The 17,324-nt window shown below is 38.1% G+C and overlaps 1 protein-coding gene across 16 annotated transcripts in view, besides 4 other annotated features; it reads right to left on the reverse strand.

The window, feature by feature from the left end:
* SPART (spartin) overlaps positions 1 to 17,324 on the reverse strand; it is a 68,543-nt gene that overhangs the window by 18,107 nt on the left and 33,112 nt on the right. For 9 of the 16 annotated variants that reach the window (XM_005266314.4, XM_047430211.1, NM_001142296.2 and 6 more), the window contains exons 2-6: positions 16,543 to 16,614; positions 15,277 to 16,088; positions 11,655 to 11,852; positions 9,618 to 9,773; positions 6,831 to 6,954 (exon numbers count right to left, since the gene is read on the reverse strand). In XM_005266314.4, the coding sequence (XP_005266371.1) occupies positions 6,831 to 6,954; positions 9,618 to 9,773; positions 11,655 to 11,852; positions 15,277 to 16,086 (1,288 nt within the window). In that variant the 5' untranslated portion in view covers positions 16,087 to 16,088; positions 16,543 to 16,614. The remainder of the gene's footprint in view (positions 1 to 6,830; positions 6,955 to 9,617; positions 9,774 to 11,654; positions 11,853 to 15,276; positions 16,089 to 16,542; positions 16,615 to 17,324) is intronic. The other 7 variants (XR_007063671.1, NM_001142294.2, NM_001142295.2 and 4 more) reach the window with 1 other exon arrangement.
* Positions 180 to 883: an enhancer, noted in NCBI's record as "H3K27ac hESC enhancer chr13:36894061-36894764 (GRCh37/hg19 assembly coordinates)". NCBI's record gives its function as "activates a minimal SCP1, AML or CMV promoter by ChIP-STARR-seq in naive H9 embryonic stem cells {active_cell/tissue: H9 hESC(naive)}" and the evidence as "EXISTENCE:reporter gene assay evidence [ECO:0000049][PMID:30033119]".
* Positions 1,586 to 2,288: an enhancer, noted in NCBI's record as "OCT4-NANOG-H3K27ac hESC enhancer chr13:36895467-36896169 (GRCh37/hg19 assembly coordinates)". NCBI's record gives its function as "activates a minimal SCP1, AML or CMV promoter by ChIP-STARR-seq in naive and primed H9 embryonic stem cells {active_cell/tissue: H9 hESC(naive and primed)}" and the evidence as "EXISTENCE:reporter gene assay evidence [ECO:0000049][PMID:30033119]".
* Positions 2,289 to 2,990: an enhancer, noted in NCBI's record as "OCT4-NANOG-H3K27ac hESC enhancer chr13:36896170-36896871 (GRCh37/hg19 assembly coordinates)". NCBI's record gives its function as "activates a minimal SCP1, AML or CMV promoter by ChIP-STARR-seq in primed H9 embryonic stem cells {active_cell/tissue: H9 hESC(primed)}" and the evidence as "EXISTENCE:reporter gene assay evidence [ECO:0000049][PMID:30033119]".
* Positions 4,528 to 4,822: an enhancer, noted in NCBI's record as "tiled region #3304; HepG2 Activating DNase matched - State 9:DNaseU". NCBI's record gives its function as "activates a minimal TATA promoter and a strong SV40 promoter by Sharpr-MPRA in HepG2 cells {active_cell/tissue: HepG2}" and the evidence as "EXISTENCE:reporter gene assay evidence [ECO:0000049][PMID:27701403]".

Below are 17,324 nucleotides of genomic sequence, written 5' to 3' on the forward strand. Positions count from 1 at the left end.
CTTTCACTTGGACTGACCCTGACACCCATCAAGCTCAGCAAATTACCTAGGCTGTACTGCCACAAAGCTTCTCAGACAGCCCCCATTACTTCAATCAAGCCCAAATTTCTTCCTCATCTGTTACCTATCTCGGCATAATTCTCATAAAAACACACGTGCTCTCCCTGCCAATCTGTCTGACTGATCTCTCAAACCCAAGCACCTTCTACAAAACAACAACTCCTTTCCTTCCTAAGCACGGTTAGCGCAGTCAGAATTCTTACACAAGAGCCAGGACCACATCCTGTAGCCCTTCTGTCCAAACAACTTGACCTTACTGTTTTAGCCTAGCCCTCATGTCTGCGTGCAGCGGCTGCTGCTGCTTTAATACTTTTAGAGGCCCTCAAAATCACAAACTATGCTCAACTCACTCTCTACAGTTCTCATAACTTCCAAAATCCATTTTCTTCCTCATACCTGACGCATATACTTTCTGCTTCCCGGCGCCTTCAGCTGTACTCACTCTTTGTTGAGTCTCCCACAATTACCGTTGTTCCTGGCCCAGACTCCAATCCGGCCTCTCGCATTATTCTGGATACCACACCTGACCCCCATGACTGTATCTCTCTGATCCACCTGACATTCACCCCATTTCCCCAAATTTCCTTCTTTCCTGTTCCTTACCCTGATCACGCTTGATTTATTGATGGCAGTTCCACCAGGCCTAATCGCCACACACCAGCAAAGGCAGGCTATGCTATAGTACAAGCCACTAGCCTGCCTCTTAGAACCTCTCATTTCCTTTCCATCGTGGAAATCTATCCTCAAGGAAATAACTTCTCAGTGTTACATCTGCTATTCTACTACTCCTCAGGGATTATTCAGGCCCCCTCCCTTCCCTACACATCAAGCTCGAGGATTTGCTCCCACCCAAGACTGGCAAATTAGCTTTACTCAACATGCCCCGAGTCAGATAACTAAAATACCTCTTAGTCTAGGTAGACACTTTCACTGGATAGGTAGAGTCCTTTCCTACAGGGTCTGAGAAGGCCACTGCAGTCATTTCTTCCCTTCTGTCAGACATAATTCCTCAGTTTAGCCTTCCCACCTCAATACAGTCTGACAACAGACAAGCCTTTATTAGTCAAATCAGCCAGCAGTTTTTCAGGCTCTTAGTATTCAGTGAAACCTTTATATCCCTTACGGTCCTCCATCTTCAAGAAAAGTAGAATAGACTAAAGGTCTTTTAAAAACACACCTCACCAAGCTCAGCCACCAACTTAAAAAGGACTGGACAATACTTTTACCACTTTCCTTTCTCAGAATTCAGGCCTGTCCTCGGAATGCTACAGGGTACAGCCCATTTAAGCTCCCGTACAGACGCTCCTTATTAGGCCCCAGTCTCATTCGAGACACCAGACCAACTTAGACTGTGCCCCAGAAAACCTGTCATCCCTACTATCTTCTGTCTACTCATACTCCTATTCACCGTTCTCAACTACTCATACATGCCCTGCTCTTGTTTACACTGCCAGTTTACACTGTTTTTCCAAGCCATCACAGCTGATATCTCCTGGTGCTGTCCCCAAACTGCCACTCTTAACTCTTGAAGTAAATAAATAATCTTTGCTGGCAGGACTATGCTGAATCTCCTTAGGCGCTCTCTAATCAGATATCCTGAGTCGTCCCAATTCTTAGACCTTTTATACCTGTTTTTCTCCTTCTGTTATTCCATTTAGTTTCTCAATTCATCCAAAACCGTATCTAGGCCATCACCAATCATTCTACACGACAAATGTTTCTTCTAACAACCCCACAATATCACCCCTTACCACAAGACCTCCCTTCAGCTTAATCTCTCCCACTCTAGGTTCCCACGCCGCCCCTAATCCCGCTTGAAGCAGCCCTGAGAAACATCGCCCATTCTCTCTCCATATCACCCCCCAAAAATTTTTGCTGCCCCAACACTTCAACACTATTTTGTTTTATTTTTCTTATTAATATAAGAAGTCAGGAATGTCAGGCCTCTGAGCCCAAGCCAAGCCATCGCGTCCCCTGTGACTTGCACATATACGCCCAGATGGCCTGAAGTAACTGAAGAATCACAAAAGAAGTGAATATGCCCTGCCCCACCTTAACTGATGACATTCCACCACAAAAGAAGTGTAAATGGCCGGTCCTTGCCTTAAGTGATGACATTACCTTGTGAAAGTCCTTTTCCTGGCTCATCCTGGCTCAAAAAGCACCCCCACTGAGCACCTTGCGACCCCCACTCCTGCCCGCCAGAGAACAAACCCCCTTGGACTGTAATTTTCCTTTACCTACCCAAATCCTATAAAATGGCCCCACCCTTATCTCCCTTTGCTGATTCTCTTTTCGGACTCAGCCCACCTGCACCCAGGTGAAATAAACAGCCATGTTGCTCACACAAAGCCCGTTTGGTGGTCTCTTCACACGGACGTGCATGAAACTCAGCACTTTGGAAGGCCAAATTGGGCGGATCACCTGAGGTCAGAAGCTCGAGACCAGCCTGGCCAATATGGTGAAACTTTGTGTTTACTAAAAATACAAAAATTAGCTGGGTGTGGTGGTGTGCACCTGTAGTCCCAGCTACTCAGGAAGCTGAGGCAGGAGAGTCACTTAAACCCTGAAGGCAGAGTTTGCAGTGAGCTGAGATAGCGTCACTGCACTCCGACTTGGGTAACAGAGCGAGACTCTGTCTCAAAACAAAACAAAACAAAACACAAAAACACAGAAGTCCCAAATCACAGCTTTCTCTCCTGGTAAAAAGCTAGCTGAACCCTAAGATTATATAGAACCCAACTTTTCTGGTAAGTTTTAATAATTTTTATCATGAGAAATATGAGTTTAAAACACTGATCACTGATCTTTTTATTTTCAGCTTTTGATAGTCTTTATTTCTGGCTAAGAGAGGGGGAAAATTGGCAGAAAATTGGCTAGCACATGGCTACTACTGAATTTCCAATCATATGACATGTATCTTATGTTTGACGTAGTCCTCTAAAAACCTAGAAATGATTTGTCTTAGCACTTAACCACCCTATACCCATCAAAGTATAAATTGAATATATGATTGCTCTTTGATGTTTTGTTCATTCTATATAATTTATGCCAGAATAAAGGTCTTTGTGGATCTGACAGCTGGAAGACTGTACTAGGCCAATGGAGTCCCAGAAATAATCTACTGAAGAATAGGAGGACTTGTTTGTCTATTCTTTAACAGACTGAATTAACCAAAATGGAAAAGTTTTTGCTAGGGCCTAGAAGCACAAAATGGTAGCAAAAAATGCATAATCTTGGAGAAATCTTAGGGAGGCATCATAGTTGCCTCCGTTCTGCTCACTCTCAACCCTAGGATGATATGTTGGAATAGGTAGGCAGAAAGTGATCATTCCGTCTCACTCCATGTCAACTGTTTGCCTAGCATTCCAGAGTCCATCTGTAAATTAAATTGGGAAAGACTAGGGAGTTGAGAGGGGACATTCAAATACCCTTGATGATGTTTTGCTATCTCACAACCACTAAAGTGTTTCAGAATGGTTGAAGGTAGATTGCTCCAAAGGTGGGCTCCATCAGTTTATTGTCAGCAACCCTCTACCTCCTTCCAAATTAGCTTACTAGGCTCTACTCGATTGATACTGCATAGCCGCTGCCTTCTTAAAGTGTTAAGTCTAGGTTTCTCAAGCCTATACAGGTAAACTTTCAGCATGGTTGTTTTACTTTTTTTACCTTTTACATTAGGAGAACCTCAGACTAGCTTTTAGTGATCTTTACTTATTCTTTGACAGTGGACAGGCACCAATTATGGGCTAAGATGAATGAGCTCAATTTATATCCCTGGTTACTCATTTTGTACATAGACTGAATCAGTCAGGTAACAATAGTCTCTTGATAGATCAGATAATTTTCCCTGGAGTAAATCTTTATTAATTTTCTGCCCCCCTTTGTTTTACTTGTACCATAAACATTTGACGAACTACTCGTTCTACCTATTAAAAAGCTCATAAAGAGACATATACGCTGATAGGCAGTTAAATAGTTTACAGTTACCAACTATGAGGACATTACTAGAACCCCAGCCCTGAAGGTATAGAATAAAAAGGAAAAGAGGTACTGGCACGAAGAAACTGAGGTCTTAAGTAATAAAGAAGTCCTCTGAGTGTTACCAGAACACAGTTTTTGCTTGTTTTAAAATTATGCACTGCTGAAAGTTCTTTTGAAATCTACAAAGAGACCTCTTCCCAGGATTAACTGGCTGTACTGCTTCCGGTAGCACCATGGTGTGCTATCTATAGTACCTAGGAGGCCTGAGATTTAGTGGCAGCTGATGAAAAAATTTCTGAAGATGACCACAAACAGTGCCTGCTATTCTGAATGTTAATCTTTCCACAAGATCTTGACATTCTTCCCAGAGGGAAGTGGGGTCTATGTCACATTCCTTGCATCTGGGCTGGCTTGTTGTTTGCTTTTAACAACAAATTTCCAAATGATGTTGGAAATTTCCAAGAGTATGTCAGAAATGGTAATGCAGCTTCTGTCTGTTTGCTGGATGATTCACATTTGAAGCCCCAAGTCACTAGGTAGAAGCCAGACTAGCCTAAGGCCACCATGCTAGGTGGAAGTCCAGCCACAAGAGGCCATGTGTAGGCACTCTATTTGGCAGTCCTAGACTTTGACCTCTCCCAGCCTAGATGCCAGAGGTGTCAGTAATGATTCCAGTCTTCAGCTTATTGTCAAGTCACTAGCTAGCCTTTGAGTCTTCCCAGATGAAGCCCTTAGATACCATGAAAGAGATATAAGCCACTCCTGCTGTGACCTTTCCAAATACCTGGCCCACTGAATTCCACAGAAACAAATGTTTGTTGTTTTGTGCCTTTGGGTTTGGGGCAGTTTGTTACATAGCAGTAGTAAATGGAACAAACTTGTAACAGTATTTTCACTTGCGTGCATGTGAAGAGACCACCAAACAGGCTTTGTGTGAGCAACAAGGCTGTTTATTTCACCTGGGTGCAAGCGGGCTGAGACCGAAAAGAGAGTCAGCGAAGGGAGATAAGGGTGGGGCCGTTTTATAGGATTTGGGTAGATAAAGGAAAATTACAGTCAAAGGGGATTTGTTCTCTGGCAGGCAGGAGTGGGGGTCGCAAGGTGCTCAGTGGGGGAGCTTTTTGAGCCAGGATGAGCCAGGAAAAGGACTTTCACAAGGTAATGTCATCACTTAAGGCAAGGACCAGCCATTTTCACTTCTTTTGTGGTGGAATGTCATCAGTTAAGGCAGAGGAGGGCATTTTCACTTCTTTTGTGATTCTTCAGTTACTTCAGGCCATCTGGGCATATACGTCAAGTCACCGCGGATGTGATGGCTTGGCTTGGGCTCAGAGGCCTGACAAGTATAAATTCCAAAAACTTGGGAAAACGACCTTTGAATTTAGTGTGTTGGGGTAACAAGCAAGTTTTCTGAATGATGGCCTCCTAATAATAATGCTTAGCAGCCTATAAAGTTGGGGGGTAGGGTAGTAAAAGTGAAAAGATTTTTCATTGCAGTTTCTTTGTAAATCTCTTTCAAGTCAATTTTAACTATCGCAACTACATTTTAAAATTTGGCTCTATCTTTTTTTCTTGTCTCAAGCATAGTTCTTTGGCACTAGGAAAAGTATTTTATTAGTTCCTAGCAAGCTAATTATTTTAGCTTGTTGGTTTTTTATGTTGAAGATTTCCTCTGCTTTAGACATCTTTTAAAATGGATTTTAGTGGACATGGAAATCTGAATTGACAGTCGTTTAAATGAGTCAAGACCCATTTAATGGGGTTATGAATTTGACACACTGAATGGTGACTGGCAATATTTTTTAAAAAACAAAATAAAAGGTATAAATCAGAGAGTTACTACAGCTAAAAAGCTATGTGAAATGTTAACCAATTAAAGTAGAAAGATGTGTCACTAATGATCATTCTGGCTTCAGAATAATTGATCTGAAGCCCTTTATAACCATAATTAAACAGCAGAGACTACTTCTCAAAGAGCTTGGCTATAACCCTCAGATGTTCTCATGTCTGCATTGCTGTATAGTTTATACAGTGCTGCTTTGCTTCCAAAGATGGATGAACATGGTCTCATTTTTTGGGTGGGTATCTGAGTCCATTTGTGCTGCTATAACAAAATATCATAAACTAGTAGCTTATTAACAACAAAAATTTATTTCTCACAATTCTAGAGGCTGGGAAGTACAAGACTAAGGTGCTGGTACATTTGGTCTCTGGTGAGGGGCCCACTTCCTGGTTCATAGAATGACACCTTCTTACTGCTTCCTCACATAGTGAAAGGGACAAGGCAGCTCTTTGGGATCTCTTTTATAAGGGACTAATCCCATTGATGAGGGCTCCTCCCTCATGACCTAATCACCTTCCAAAGGCCCCACCTCCTAAAACCATCACCTCAGGGGTTAGGATTTCAATATATGAATTTTGAAGGGACACATTCAGACCACAGCTGAGGGACAGGGGTAGGGGGAGGTTAAGAGGGAGCTTCAAAGGGGAAACGAACATAACTAATTTTAGATTCAGAACTATTAAGAATTTGAAGATTCCTGAAGCTTTTCACTATCCATTTTCCCAATAGTAGAACAGAATAATAGGCCAGGAAGAATTTATACTTATATGACAATATCTGATGTTTCAAAAGACTAGTTCCTTCTACATTTATTTCTAAATTGATCATTTAAAACCAAAATACAAAATATTATCTTTCTCAGTATTCCCTAATAAACAATATCTTTATTTGGTTCCAAAGGCTTAATGTCATACAGGGAAAAAAATTAACATTACTGTAATACCTGACAAAATGTTGTGAGCCACTTTTTCACTCCATTCAGGTAATTCTTTTGGCTTTTCTTCTGGAACTGGCTCACATGGTACAATGTGACTCAGGTTAACTTCTTCACTTGAAGTATCTTTAGCCTAAACAGTAAAAATGTTTCAAAATGTGAAGAGTTAGTACTAAGAGGGGGAAAACTGTAAGCATTATATAACAAATATGAAGCCAACAAATACTAGATAAAATTAATGAAAAATATCTCCAGCCAACCTAGTTACCAGTATGGTCTTATAAAGTACAATACCAGAACTGCCATGAAGTTGAAAACTGTTCTGGTCCATATAAATCTTGACTGGTAAGATTTAAATACCAATATAAGTCCAATATGGCATTTAACAAATCATTTAAATTGACTTTTTTCTTTTCTGGACTAGACTGATTTCCTTCAAACAGATATCATCCCTAGATATTAGTGTGCACATGGTACTCAGTAAGATTAAAAGATTTTTGTTAAATGACTCAATCAGTAAGCAAAGATGAATTCATAAACTGGTTTTGACAGAGATCAAACAAATGTCTAATTTGAAACAAGAAGGAATATATAAACACAGAATAATCTGCTATTCCATTTAAGAGGAAATGGAGAACATATATCTATACTTTGCTAACTGAACAGCTGTGATGAGAGCCTGGGCCAACACCCAAACTCTTAAAGCTAAATGAACTCATTCTAAGAAATAAGATGCAGGCTAACTCAGACCTCATAGTATTAATATAATAAAATAACTTGAAAATCAAAGTGGCCAGTAACACAAAGAATGTCACATAAAATATAAAAACAACATTAAACAAAACAACTTCTACATGGGATAAAAGTCACCCATAAGTAAAATCTAAAGCTTTTCACTGCATATACTTTTTAATATCATTTGATTTTTTTAGAACAAGAAATTAAATTTTAAAACACAAAGTTCTAAATGATATGGAAGAATTTCCAAATATACTGTTAAGTAAAAAAGCAAGGAACAAAACATTATGTTTTACATGCCACCATTTATGTTAAATATTATATATGTCTCTGTGTGTGTGTATTTAACTACGCATAAAATATATCTAGAAGGACAACAGAAGTTAATAATTATGTGTCTGAGGGCAGGCATGCTGGCTCATGCCTGTAATCCCAGCACTTTGGGAGGCCAAGGTGGGTGGATCACCTGAAGTCAGGAGTTCGAGATTAGCCTGGCCAACATGGTGAAACTGAAACCCCATCTCTACTAAAAATACAAACATTAGCCGGGCATGGTGGCAGGCACCTGTAATCCCAGCTGCTCGGGAGGTTGAGACACGAGAATTGCTTGAACCCGGGAGGCGGAGGTTGCAGTCAGCTGAGATCGCACCACTGCACTCCAGCCTGGGCGACAGAGTGAGACTCCATCTGCAGGGGTGAGGAGACAGGGGAAGATTATGTGTCTGGACACATAATTATGTGGACAGGAATAGGGCCCAGACTTATTTTTTACCATATACTCTTTTGTACCCTTCAACTTTGGTTTCTTGTGATTAATTTTAAAACAACATTTTTAAGTAAAATATATATCTTGGAACCATTTTGGACTTCCAGTATCCTCATATAGCTGGTCTAAGATGTTCAACATAAACCACAGTGACACTTTGCAAATAAATGTAGAATATTCACGTGATATTCATCAATTCCAAAGATAATTATTGAGCATTTACCATGTGGAATATAGCAATGAACAATACTAAACTGCCTATGATACTCAAGACAATGCTGTTTTATTCATATACTTGCTTATATTACCACTTCTGCCTAGAATCCCCTTAAATTTGCTATTCATAAGGCCAACTCTTCTTTATCCTTCAAGACTCATTTTAGTTATAATGTCCTGTAGGAGGGGGCTCCTCACTGCTTCCCATACCACTCATCCACCCACACTTATCTGTTAGGCTAGGCTGCATCTTCTATCTAATAGCCACATTGGATAGAAATGATCTCTTTGCTAATCTGTTCTTTCCATTAGACAGTAAATTCATTGAGACAAGAAATTTAAACTTTTTCCACTATGTAGACCTAACATTCTAGCTCTCAATAAATATTTCCTGAACTCTAATCCAAATTTACCAGTTAGAATATATTACATACTCAGAGCCTATGAAATGAAAGAAGAAACCACTCAGTATATTTTTTTAAATCAAATCTCTGTCCTGTTGCCCATCCATAAAAAAACAGGAAACTGAATAAAAATGGCAGTGTAAGAAAAAAAAAGACAGTAGCATATCTAGCCCCCAAGCTCTTAGTGAATATAGGAAGGCAGAGAATAACACAAAACAAATAAGAAAGTATGTGCATCACTAATGCAAATATAAAAATATCTTGGCCAGGTATGGTGGCTCATGTCTGTAATGCTGGCTACTCGTGGAGCGTGAGGCAGGAGGATCACATGAGCCTGGGAGGTCAAGGCTGCAGTGAGCCATGTTTGCACCACTGCACTCCAGCCTGGGTGACAAGGCAGGATCCTGTCTCAAAAAAAATAAAATCTCTCAAACAGTTGGGAAAAAAATCTATCCCCCAAACACAGAGTATCTTTTAAAATAGTTTAAGTAACACACACTTTAAAAGGGAAATACTACAACTGATTCTAATTGTTTTTGCCAGTGATCACTTTGTTGACTAATGCACAAGTTGCTTTGCTTTAGTATATGGGAATATGATCATATAAATACATGAAACTGGAGAAAGGTACCATTAGAAGACAACACACACACTTATTACTCTTTTATTTACCCTTTTTCCACGTTTTCCTTTATGACGTACATCCTTATTGCCTTGGTCCAACTGTTTCACATCAGTGCCAGAGGCTTCTTTTAGTTGGTCAGAGGAGGGTCTAGTTCTTCCAGGGATTTGGAATTCATTTTCTTCTTCTGCTCTGTTCCAGTTGGCCTAGAGAATAAAGGTTTAAGCTTAACTCTAATCAGAATTTTTCTTAGATGGCTTTCTGCCAGCTATATTACACCATGCTCAAATGACATACTTGTTTGAATGTCAGTTTGGCAGTCTATCAGTAACAACTACTTTTGCTTTTTTCTCTACGATTCTCTTTTGTTTCATCACCAAACCCCAAACCTCTGAGTTCTTTGGTTCATAGCATATGCCTAAGTAAGTTTCAAAAGACAACGTGTAAAAGACAACTTATAGCAGTTGTTGGTATAAGTTATCTTTGAATCAGATGCAGCTACATTTAAATTTAATTAATGAATAAATTTTAGTTAACATGTACAAGAGAAAGTGAATTTAAAGGCAATTAACAAAACTCATGTCCATTTCATTATGCATTATTGGAAGGTTTATTTTTTAATTTTCTGCACAATATACACTTTGCTGAATGAATGCTTAAGAGTAAAAACCAGTCAAAATTATAGCTAGTAACTAGCTTATGTTTACAGTTGAAGTTCTGGGACAGTAAAGCAAGCTAAAAATAACATACAAATACCAAAAAATTAAATTGAAGACAGAAAATAAACATACAACCTAAAAGTCTGCTTAGTTTCTTTCCTAAAGCCCAGTAATACAGGTCCAGTTAACGTAGGGGTGAAGGGAGAAATAGTTCCACATTAGGTCTGTGAATACTTAAGAGCATCATTTCACTCAGTAAACAGTGAAGTGAAGATGAACTCCTTCATTTGACCATATTCCTGCCTTTGTGAATTCCTCCTCACAAGTACAATGAGGCTACACACTTCTGTATGCTGATCATGTATTTTGTTAAATAATTGCTGCTATGCTAAAGTATTGGTTTGTTGACCACCAGGTAGGTCATTCTCGGGTGAACAGGGGCTGATTTTATATTTTCATACACACACACACACACACACACACATCCCCCACACCTTCGTGGTCTCCTGTTCTCATACTTTGCCCATCCCATCACTTAACACAGTAACTGGTTAAATAATGAATTCCAAGTATCTGCTGATTGAAGGAGAGAATAAAAGATTATACTATTATAATGCCCACCTCATTCAACCCCTGATGACTGTCAATATTCATAATCAAAAATACTTTTTCCCTCTTGCTACAACAATATATAAAGAAAGTCTCTCCATAATACTCTATTCAAGTTCCCTGTTAAACAGAAATACTCTATTTCTACAGGTACGCATGTGGGCAGAGGAAACATGCCAAATAAGGAAAGTTCCAGGATGATCATATTTTAAATCATATTTTCTTTTTATTTTTTTATTTGGCCTTCATTTACCACAAGAACAAAGATAATTATCTCAACCAAAGCCTGTTTCTTCCTCAGAATGCCAACCATACCCCTTAAAATGTCCAACATAACCTATCTACTAAAGCTAAAATTATCTTCATGTCACCATTTAGACCCATTAGTACACTTTTCCAGCTGAGCAATAAAACAGTGGTGAAAACAATAGCTAACATTCACAGAGCATAACTACTCGTTCTGATATAAGTGCTTAATGTATTAATTTTTAATTTTCACCACAGCCCAATGAAGTGGACACTGTTATTATCCCCATTTTATAAGTAAATTAAAGTATAGAGAAGATCAGGAACAGCTGAGCTAAACGGTCATTAAGTGGAAGAGTTTGAATTCATATACAGGCAATTTGACTCTAGAGCTCACAATCTTAACCACTATTACAGCAAATTCCAAGCATGTAGTTGTGAACACACAAACAAATGGTGAACTGTCAGTCTCCTAACCTTGATTACAGTAGAGGTTATTACAATTTCTCTAAAAGCTGAAGTGCTTATGTTAAAGTAGATTTTTTTCACCCTAAAGATGATCACACAAGTTACCTGGAGCCGAAGGTCAGACATTTGCCTTAACAGATCCTCAAAGAGCTCTCTATCATCCTCTGGTAACTCAGAGGACAGGACGACCCCCACAAAGCATCCTGCTGCTTGTAGCATTGTATCAGGAAACATGTAGGCTCCCGCAGTACATTTCAGAACCGGAGATCTATCAGGAACTAGAGGATATAACCAGTCACAAACCTGAAAGGATTCATTAGAAGAAAAAAAATATACATATAAATAAATGAAACTAGATTTTCATTTATGTTTTAATAAAATTGTTATACTAGAAAATAAACACTTCAAAGTTGGAAACATATTTTAAAAGGCTTTAAGAAACATCAACATCAACAAATCCCCAAGAAAATTAATCATTTGCTAGTCTGATCTTTCTGCAATAAGGACTGTGCTAAATGTGCCATGGCTCCACTAATTATACAATCTTAAAGCTGATGGCCTTAACTAGCCTAGTGTTAACCAATAATGACTCCAGCTTTAAATAAATAATAATCAAAGTAAATTAAGGTTTTCGTTATTGAAATCAGATATTCCTTTTGTGGTAAATAAACTATTTTCAGATATTATTTACTTGAAATATTTACTGAAATAATAGTATTTACTGATTTAATCCTCCTAACAATCCTATGAAATCAGTTACTATTATTGTCATTTTATGTACAAGAAAATTGAGGCACAGAGAGGTCAATTAAGTCGCCCAGAACCAACAACTAAAAAGTGGAGCTTGGATTTTAACACATATAGTCTGGACCAGAGAAGCTGAACAAGTATTTTAATTAGAAACCCAGCACTCACAGGCCGGGCACAGTGGCTCACACCTATAATCCCAACACTCTGGGAGGCCAAGGAGAGGTGGGGGGATTATTTGAGGTCAGGAGTTCAAGACCTGCCTGGACAACATGGTGAAACCCCCATCTCTACTAAAACTACAAAAATTAGCTGGGGGTGGTAGTGCATGCCTGTAATCCTAGCTCCAGCTCCTTGGGAGGCTGAGGCAGGGGAATCACCTGAACCTGGGAGGTGGAAGTTGCAGTGAGCCAAGATTGTGCCACTGCACTCCAGCCTGGGCAACACAGCAAGACTCTGTCTCAAAGAAAAAATAAATGAATAAATAAGAAATTCAGCACTCACTCACAACATGGAATAATTTTTTGTACTAAACCCAAGAGAACCTGACATAACAGAATAGATTAAGTTAATGTTTATGGATTATCTATCTATTGTGAAATTAAAAGCAAAATAACAAAAGCTCTCCTGCAATGTCATCTGCGGAGGTCGGCTTGCCAGTACATACACAGACATAAGCTCACATCCTGGCTGCCTAATTTATTTCTAATGCAATACATTCTTTGAGAAACCAAAATATAACTGTGCTCAACATCAAAACAGTCTTACCCACAAACTTTTAACATTTGAGTAGTTATTTATTTTAATATGTATGAGAAAAATACATATTTCCCTTAATTTCAGTTATTATTAAGATAAAACTGACAAGTGGGACAATTTAGTAAAAATATAAAGCAAGTAATAGCAGTGGTATAGAGTTGACAAAAAAATTGTAAAAGTTATTCTAAAATAAAACTTAGGAAAGGTTTTTCTTTTTTTTTTCTTTTTTTTAAACTATTCCATGGTTTCTTTCAGATTATCTATATCCTGGTCACCTTAATTGAACTGCAATATCACCAAATTGTCTTTAAAAAAACCAACACTTTATAGACCTTTCCTAGGACAGGATATTACAGATAAGTGAGTCATCCACCATAGGCTGATTTTTCCCAGTTTCATTTTCAGAGGGCAATCTCATGTCCAATTTCTGTAATTATAGATTTAACAGGTTTAAAAAGTATTTGGTATTAAAACTAAAACCAAAAGAAAAATCTTTTTTTGAAGTTCCAGAATTCTATCTACCTAAAACCAAAAAAACTTAATTTCCTATTTAGACCAATAGTGATTTTAACAGTGATTTTTAGCACAGGAAATATCTAACTTCTAGTATTTAGTTGGATTATTATTGTATTTTTTTTTTTTTTTTGGATAAAAACATTCAGTAAACACATATGTTAACTCCTTTTAAGGACACTCTGCTACAAATACCTGAATACAAGCAAATGAGAACCTCTTAAAGAGACTCAAATTAAATTTTGGGTGCAATTTTACTTTTCGTTTAGGACAAAAAATACACATGAGAAAGATTAAAAACAAAATTAAATGCACTAAGGACAAATTTGTATTAAAGTACAAGTCATTTCAATGGATGAGTGAATGTAACCACGGTACAGTATTTCTGCCATTCACTACCCCATCTCCAGTTGCTAAGGACCCAAAGATTTTTTATTCCATCATTACAGTGCAACACTATTAGTAGAAACTGTTATAGCTTTTATCACCCGCCACTACAAACCCCAATCAATAAGCCTACTCTTTGTAACCTTAAGGCTCCTTCCTTAAAATAATCTACAGGATTCACAATATTCTTTCTGTCCAGTATCAAATATTTCCTTTCAATAATGCCCTCAAAGTATCTCCCTCACACATCCCTAGCAAGCCTCGAATTGTCTTTAAACAACTTTCAAGTTGACTTCATATAAAAACTACATAAGAATCAACAGGAGAGAATACCAAAAGAGAAAATGAATAGAGATAAGCTGTGCTATTACTAAACCACATTATTTGGACTGTGGACAAAACATCTGTTTTGCTTAAATAGTGATCTTTCTTCAATGCAAACTCCTTTGTTATATTCAACGTATACTGAGTCCTCATTTCAAGAACTCATCTTCCTATACCTACATCCAATCTTTTAAAACGAGACTGTCACTGGACCACTCTCTTCAGAGTACCTCACTAAATCCACAGCAATGCCCTGACATCAATCTTTATGTAGCACTCTTTACTCTTAGACCAAGTGCATTCTGGTAAATTTCTCTGCTTGGACTGTTGGAATTACATCTTAAATTATCACCACAGTCTCGACTTCTAAACCAAGGTCTCTCAACCTTGGCATAGTTGAGATTTTGGGCAGGATAATTTTTTTTTGTTCATGAGGGCTGTCCTGTGAAAATGTGTGGCAGCATCCGTGGCCTCTATCCACTATGCCAGTAGCAATCAACTTCCAGTATGACAACCAAAAATGCCTCCAGACATTGTCAAATGTTCTCTGGGGAGGCAAAACTACCCTGGGTTGAGAACAACTGTTCTGGACCATGGGCTCGGTCTCTCCCAGTTCAGACCCTCAGCTGAGTCTTGACAACATTTGTGAATATTTACAGCTATACATCCACAGGAATTACATAAATCCCTTTCGAAATTAAACTTATTAGATTTCTTCTTCAGATAAAGAATTAAAAATGTAAGGATGACCACTCTTCTCAAGTTTTATCATCACAAACTTAATACCAAAATAAAACTATTAATATATCTTTTTTAAAAAAAGAAAAAGACAAACACAAACATGTTCAAGGCTCATAATTTCATGGAATATATTTAAAAACAAAGTAGAATTTGTCGTTATCTTTTTGCACTTATACTGGACACATAAACATTAACAAATAAAAATGATGTAGTCTACACGTATTTCAAATTATGCTTTCATTTTTCTTTCGCTTACCTGAAGAAACCCGGGAGGACGGTTTAGAACCGTATCGAGAGAATTATCCAAAAACCTCACAATTCGAAGGTACCCAGGATACGAAGGTGCACTAACCTCCCCTGCAGGATTTACAAAAAAAATCTGTACTCCATTTGGTATCAAAATCAATTCATCTGCATCCAGCCCTAAGGTCTCAAGAGGCGGTGGCTGAGAATGATTCCTATAAAACTCCTCTCCAACTGATGAAAACTCCCCAGAATCTGTTCCATAGGATACAGTGTAGTGACCTTCAGCAGCTTGAGGAGTATAAGCAGGAGGAGCTTCTGCTGGACAACTTTGTGATGGTAAAGACAGAGAAGCAGGTGCAGCAACTGCCCCTGCACTTGGAGTTGAGGTGTTTCCATTTACTTCAGCATGCTGAGGAGCTGAACTAAAAGACTGAGGCTCTGGTAATTTTTCACACATGTCTTTAGGTGGAAATTCTGGATATAACTTGGGCACCTCCTGAAGATCATTCTGCAGAGAAGTGGCAAGACCCTTCTCTAGAATTTCCAGCCTGGTGCGTACATTCTGTAGAGTTTCTTTCATTTTCTGTTGCATCTGTCTAGCAGATTCCCACCCAGGACCTGTGTGTTCAGACTCTTTTGATGAAATGCTGATCCCTCTGAGCAGGTGTCCTATTCCTTGCTTATAGTAGTTCTTTGCTTCTTCCTTCTGACCTAATTCATCTGTATTCAGACCTTTGTTAACAAATAAAAAGGCCTTCTTATATGCTTCTCTGATGATCTTAATTTCAGCAGGTTCTCCATTTTGTGGCTCTTGCTCCATTTCTGCAAAATTGGAGACATATTTAATTATCTTGCTTAGCTATTGTTTACTTATGATTCGTATCTCCTACCTGAATATATTTTAAGAGGACAAGTGCCTCGCTTATCTCTGTTTTGTTCACTATTATACTATCCTTTAAGCCTACTATTAGGTCTGTCATAAAGAAAGCACTTAACATGTATTTGATGAATGGATAAATAAATGAAAACTCTTGGTCCAAAATATCTTAATTTAAAAACATAAGAGAATAAATCAGAATACATCTATTAAATAATTTTCTTGTTCTGGTTTCTTATAATAGTTTCCTATCATACATCCTTATGGTTGAAACAAGAGTCTCATTCTAAAATTCATTATAATATAAATCCAGATTATATCCAGCCAATAAAAAATGAATTGAATCATAGACTGGGGAAAACAGAAATGAGAAAAAAAAAGTGAATGAAACTTTGTTACCTGATTTCCACTTAAAGGTGGCAGGTTACCCCACACAGCCCTGTTGCTTCCCCAAATCCCACTAAGATGACTCTGGAAAGATTATGAAAAAGGAACAACCATTTTTCTTAGTGAGAAAAATACATGAATAGGCACTTCACAGAAGAAAATCTTTAAAAAGCATCTGAAAAGGTGTTCAACATACTATTCCCTCAGAAAAGTGAAACTAAAATCGAGTGATACCAACTAGGCACTTAACAGATGGCTAAAATTTAAAAGACTGATTAGTGCTAAGTGAAGACAAGTGGAACTCTTCTACCTTGCTGGTGAAAGCTGAAAAATGATACAACATTTTGGAAAACCGGCAGTTTCTACTAAAGCTAAACACCCACTCAATGACCCAACAATTCCACTTGCAGGTATATAACCAAGAGAAATGGATGCATGTGCATGCCAAAAACATGTATGGCAATATTCACAGCAACTATATTCACAAAAAGCAAATCCTTAAAACAACCCAAATGCTCACTCATTCATACAATGCAATAATACACAGAAAAAAAATTTTAAACCTGATTGCCTGCAACATCAATGAATCTCACCAATTCTTTGAGGAAAAGCCAAATACAAAAGACTTCATATTGAGACCACATACTATGATTCTACATGAATGAATTAAATGGGAAAAACTGGTCTATGATATGACATAAATCAAAATAGTGCTTATAGGTAGAGGCTACAGACTTCACAGGTACAGGAGGGAATCTCATGGCCTTTGGAAATGTTCTCTTGTTGATCTGAGT

The sequence above is a fragment of the Homo sapiens genome, chromosome 13 (genome assembly GCF_000001405.40).
Source record: "Homo sapiens chromosome 13, GRCh38.p14 Primary Assembly".
NCBI lineage: Eukaryota > Metazoa > Chordata > Mammalia > Primates > Hominidae > Homo > Homo sapiens.